The sequence below is a fragment of the Homo sapiens genome, chromosome 2 (assembly GCF_000001405.40).
Source record: "Homo sapiens chromosome 2, GRCh38.p14 Primary Assembly".
Classification (NCBI taxonomy): Eukaryota; Metazoa; Chordata; class Mammalia; order Primates; family Hominidae; genus Homo; species Homo sapiens.
The window spans coordinates 16,213,273-16,219,272 of record NC_000002.12 but is presented as its reverse complement, the minus strand read 5'-3'; the positions used below and the strand labels follow the sequence as shown (position 1 = coordinate 16,219,272).

Below are 6,000 nucleotides of genomic sequence, written 5' to 3'. Positions count from 1 at the left end.
ACCAACATTTAGCACTCACCGGTCCTGGTACTTGCTCAGGACTTTAATTGAGCAAGTAAAGGACCCATCCCCGCACCACCACCACCCCAAGAGGATCTTGGGTCTGAGGAGCTGACCGATCCCCTCATTCAATCCTCACAGCCCTACCGAGAAGCACTCTCATTATCCCTCCCGTACAGGTGAGGAAACAGAGGCTCAGAGACGTTAAGTAACTTTCCCCAGATTTAGCATCTAGCTGAGGAGCAAAGCTGGATTTGAGCCAATGTCTGCCTGACACTACAGAGCTCCAGCTTTTATCCACTCCTACCTCTGAACTGCCTAAGGAAAAGGCCAAATGCACCAGTATACTCTAGAGAGAAAACTTGATGGGGGCAAATCAGGGAAGACTAGTAAATGTATGGCAGGAGGACAGCCTGAAGAGGGCGCAGGGCTCCCCGAGGTTCCCTGCTGGCTGGGCTGCTGGTGAATAGATGGAGAAAGCTGTGGGCCAATATGGCCTAGACGAATCCAGGGACTCTGGAGAAAGCCCTAGGCCACTTCAGATCCTTTATATACCCACTGAGTTCCTCACACAAGCACCATGAATTACAACTCTGTGAAGTGCAAGTTGTGACTATTCCATGTTAAAGATGAGGACCAGAATTACTTAAATGACTTACTCAAGGTCAGGCAGAGATAGTTGCTCTCTCTCCTCTGTTCCCAAAGCTCCTTGTGTACATTTCTATCATTCTTTTCTTTTCTTTTCTTTTTTCTTTCTTTTTTTTTTTTGAATCAGAATCTCAGCTCTGTCACCCAGGCTGGAGTGCAGTGGCACCCTCACTGCAGCCTCGAACTCCTGCCTCAGACTCCCAAGTAGCTGGGACTACAGGCATGTGCCACCATGCTTGGCTGATTTTTTAAATTTTTTTTGTAGAGATGGGCGTCTGGTTTTGTTGCCCAGGATGGTCTCAAACTGCTAGCCTCAAGCCATCCTCCCACCTCAGCCTCCCAAGTCACTGAGATTACGGGCATGAGTCACTGCACCTGCCTGGTTTCATACTTTTTTTTTCTTTTTTTTTGACATGGAGTTTTGCTCTTGTTGCCCAGGCTGGAGTGCAATGGGGCGATCTCGGCTCACTGCAACCTCTGCCTCCCAGGTTCAAGCAATTCTCCTGTCTCAGCCTCCCGAGTAGCTGGGATTACAGGCACATGCCTCCAAGCCTGGCTAATTTTTGTATTTTTAGCAGAGACGGGGTTTCATCATATTGGTTGGTCTCGAACTCCTGACCTCAGGTGATCTGCCTGCTTCGGCCTCCCAAAGTGCTGGGACTACAGGCATGAACCACCGCCTGGCCCTGGTTTCATACTTCGTTGTCTGTTTTCTCTAGAAGACTGTGAGCCCCTCAAGAAGGAGGCCAGTATCTTTGTCATCGCTGAGTTCTCACCTCTGAACACAACGCTAGAAACATAGTAGATAAGTAAATGAAGGAATGGAGTGAAAATTGAACTCTGATCCTCCCTCTTCTGTCCTCCCTCCCTCCCCTTGACCAAGGTATCAAACATGCAGGTTTCACTCCCAGAAGAATTACTGCTTTCGTGGTACAGGCACCACTGTTAATAAAAGGTATCTAGTGTTCAGGAGAGTTCTGCCTTCTCGTTTTACATGTGGGGCAACGGGGACTTGGAGAGAGGAAAGGAGTTGCTCAAAAGCTAGTGGTCCAGCTGGATTATGGAGACATCTCTGACCCTGCCACACTACTTGTGTGACCCTGTATCAATGGCCTACCTTCTCTGTGTCTTGGTAGCTCCCCCTATAAAATGGGCTCGACCTTCCTCACTGCAGCAGTAGGGAAGTGTCATTGAGGTCCTTTTGGAGCAGAACCATGCCGATTTCCTGGAGTCAGCTAACTCTGGGCAGAGCCCACCCTTCTGGGTCCCAGGGACTCCATCTGTGTGTATTACCCTCATTTCTCTTTGGCACTGAGAAGCTGGGACTGTCTCAGGGCATGGAGGCCTCTGAGCTCCTTGGTAGAAGAAAGATGAAGCATGCCCAGCTCTCCTGGTGTATTTCTTTCCTTGAAATTCAAATAATGCTATTTCCCCCCCTCCTTTTCCTCCAAGGTGACTTGGTGATTGGACTGTGGATATGGATTTTCTATGATGTTTAAGATTTACCATAAAAATCTACATGAATTGGAGATACTATTATTAGACTAAAAGCAAAGAGGCTCATTTCTTTCTGTCAGAGGGAGCGAGATCAGAGGCTTTTCTGCTCTCTAGGTTAAAAGGTACACCTTCCCAGAAAGATGAGAGCCAGTGACGGTTCCAACAAACGTGTCCTATGAATTTACTAAAAAACAAATTATCCATCTTGAAGGAATGAAGGGATCATTTGAATGCACTCCTGCTTCTGAGGCTGGAGAAATTTTTCCTGCCTCGTGTCTGTGCACCGTCGTCTCTGATGGGGCAGCCTCTGTCTGTGAGATCAGAATTAATTAAACTGTGCTTAGTTCACGCTTTTCGTGCCGTTAGAGTCGGAGAGCTGTTTGAAATAGGATTCCTGCTGATGAATGGGTCTGTACAATTATCGGTGACAATATGGTGCATACCCTGAGTCCTGGGCTGAGCGTGGAGGCCCTTCCCGGCAGGGAGGTGAGCCAGGCTTTGGGACAGAAACCTGTGTTCTCCCCAAAGACGGCATGGTTATTTTCTAAAAGACAAGCCCTTTTATGATTTTTCTTTTAATAGCAGGAAAGATGGCTGCAGCTCTCTGTTGGTAGGAAAGACGGTGAGTGCGGTGTTCTGAGAGCCAGCCTTGTAGTCACACCGACCTGGGCTCAGATCCTGCCTTTCTAAGTATAGAGCTATGAGCTGCCTCACAGCATTTCTGAGCCTCAGTTTCCTTTTCTGTAAAATGATAATGGCACCCACGGTGCAGATTGGCCCTAGGACCAGTCATTATCGGGGAGGGGAGGCATCCAGCACCATGGCCGAGGATTAGAGGGTGCTCAGTCAGGTCTCCATTGCGTATTTTGACATCTCTAATTTGAAGTTGCCGAGGTTTGAGTGTGGCTGCCCCATGACATCAGACTGCAGAAGCAGTTCTGAAAACTCCCTTCCTGCTTAATGAATGAAGACAGATTCTAACAGCTGGGGCCAGACAAAGGAACATGTGTCAGGCTCCGGAAGCTAGTCTCCAAAAGCACCCAGGGAGCAGGGAGGAATCTGGGTGAAGGGCAGGGCGGAGTGGCCAGACTGCGTGGGCCTACGCCGCTGCTTCCGCTTCCCAGAATTCCTAGGCCTGCATCAGTTCTGCCCGATTCCGCCTTCTTCCAGAGCAGTTATGAGCCCAAACAGAAGAATCTACAAGCCTTCTTTTATAAGCAGAGAAAGAGACTCCTAGCTTCATGAACAGCTTTCTTCACATGACTCTCCATCACTGGAAGGGGTGATAGCACCGCTTCAGATATTCCACTCGGAGACGGTCAACTCTTGATCCTACAATCACACTTAGCAATACAGCAAGGATGTTCAAAATATCAATATGGAAGAGAATAATAGCTTTCTCAGAAACTATTGCTTGTGATATCCAAAAGACGATTAAAGATGTATAAAATGCCCACGCCTCTTCAACAGAGAAAATCGGAAATTCAAACCAGCAATATCAGAATACCCTGCCAGGTACTTAAGGCACACAAGAATTGTCCTCACTTACTAGCTGTATGTTTATGAAAAAAAAAATAACTTAGCTTCTCTGAGTTGTAGTTCTCACATCTCTAAAATGAGCCCTTGTGAGGATAAAATGCAAATAAATACAGTTATGTATCAGTTGACTATGGGGATACATTCTGAAATATGCATCCTTAGGCAATTTTATCATTGTGCAAATATCATGGAATATACTTACACAAACCTAGATGGTAAATATCATTGCTACACACCTAAACTATATGGCATAGCCATTGTTCCTAGGCCACAAACCTGTGCAACATGCAACTATATTGAATACTGTAGGCAATCATAACACAATGCTAAATATTGTGTGTATCTAAATGTGTCTAAATATAGAAAAGGTAAAGTTGAAATACGGTGTGATAATCTTATGGTACCACTGTCATATAGTCGGACCACTGTGGACCAAAACAACGCTATGTACTGCATGGCTGTATGTAAAATGACCAGCACTCTCTGCTGGATACAGCCTTCTTTAAATGTGCTCCTGGTGACGGAATTCACCTTTGCCATCAATGACAAACACTTGTAGCATTTATGAATTGGAGGTTTACAATTCTGTTATGTAAAGTCTAACCAAGCAAAAGAGATTTGTAGAGGCAGCAAGAGGGGCAGTAAAGAATGGTAGACATGGCGTCCACCTAACAACTCCACATGGACTCTTGGTCCAGTGAATTTTTGAAGAGGGGGATGCATCTTAAGCATCTATTTTTTGTGGAATCAATATAAGTGGCACAATTTGTTCACCAAGATAGACAAAGGTATATAAAGATGTTGCTGGTTTTGTTTGTTTTTCTGTCTGGACAAGTGTCTAGGCAAGACATGCTCCCTACTTTGCCACAAAATGAAAATGTGGGGCCCCTTGTTCAAAAAGAAAGAACTTCAAGACAGTAACAAGAAAGCATTAAGGAAAATACGGTTCTCTTCTCCAAGGACAAGGCCTTTGTGAGCTTAGGGCCCTGGGACATCACTGGTTTACTGGTTTACTTTTATAAAGCCAGTCCTGAGTGTGGGACTTGGAGGAGGTGACAGTGCTGTAAGGAGAAAAAAAAACCTGCTGAGAGGCCATCTCTGAACCACTCAGTCCAGAGAAGTGTGGTCACATCACCCAAAGTCACCATCTTAATCAAACTTACCACTCTTGGACATGCTATAATATTTATTTGTTTACTGACTATACTCTAGAATGTAAAAGACTTTGATGCCTTATACAGCATGGCATAATACATTACATGTATAGGTGTACCTAACATATAATAGGTGCTCAATAAACTTTTGTCGCATGATAATGTAAAAGCAAAGATCAAGCCTGGAACATTTCATCTAGTGCAGGTTGCTAGCACCTCTTTGGGTTTCTGATGCTGATGTTCTCTGACAGAGCAATGAATAGCAGGTAGAAAGTATACCAGTTTGGGAAATGGGAAAACCTCATTTGAAAACCTCAAGGTGAAAAGATGCAACCTACAGACACAAGCCACAGTTGAGGTTTTCCCATTTCCCAAACTGAGTGAGTCACAATCTCACTTCATTCTATTTCTCCGAATACTGTATCTGTGCTGGTACCATGTCTAATCAAAATTAGATTTTCTCTGAGTCACAAAGACCTGAAAAATAGCACCTGAAAAAAATAGACATTAATCTGCTCAGGGGAACTATAAACAGTAAAACAATAGACATTAAAATCAAAAGGATGATCCATAAAATAAAAATTGACAAATTGGACTTCATCAAAGATAAAAACTTTTGCTCTGCAAGCCAGGTGTGGTGGCTCACGCCTGTAATCCCAAAGGCGAGGTGGGTGGATCACTTGAGGCCAGGAGTTCAAGACCAGCCTGGCCAACAGGGTGAAACCCTGCCTCTACTAAAAATACAAAAATTAGCCAGGTGTGGTGGTGCATGCTTGTAGTCCCAGCTACTTGGGCAGCTGAGGCACAAGAACCGCTTGAACCTTGGAGGCAGAGGTTGCAGTGAGCCAAGATCGTGCCACTGTACTCCAGGGTGGGAAACAGAGAGACACCTATCTCAAAAAAATGAAATAAAATAAAATAATAACAACAAAAAAACACACAAAAGTTTTGCTCTGTGACAGAAACTATTACAAAAATGAAAGGCAAGTAATAGACTGGGAGAAAATATTTTTAAATCATGTATCTAACAAATGATTTGTATTTAGACTATATAAAAAATTCTCAAAACTCAAAGTAAGAAAACAATCTAATTTTAAAATGCGCAAAAGAGCTAAACAGACATTTCACTAAAGATATATGGATGGCAAATAAGCACATGAAA

At 44.3% G+C, this 6,000-nt stretch overlaps 1 annotated feature.

Annotated features, from left to right (window-relative positions):
* Positions 2,877 to 3,378: an enhancer, noted in NCBI's record as "H3K27ac hESC enhancer chr2:16397163-16397664 (GRCh37/hg19 assembly coordinates)". NCBI's record gives its function as "activates a minimal SCP1, AML or CMV promoter by ChIP-STARR-seq in primed H9 embryonic stem cells {active_cell/tissue: H9 hESC(primed)}" and the evidence as "EXISTENCE:reporter gene assay evidence [ECO:0000049][PMID:30033119]".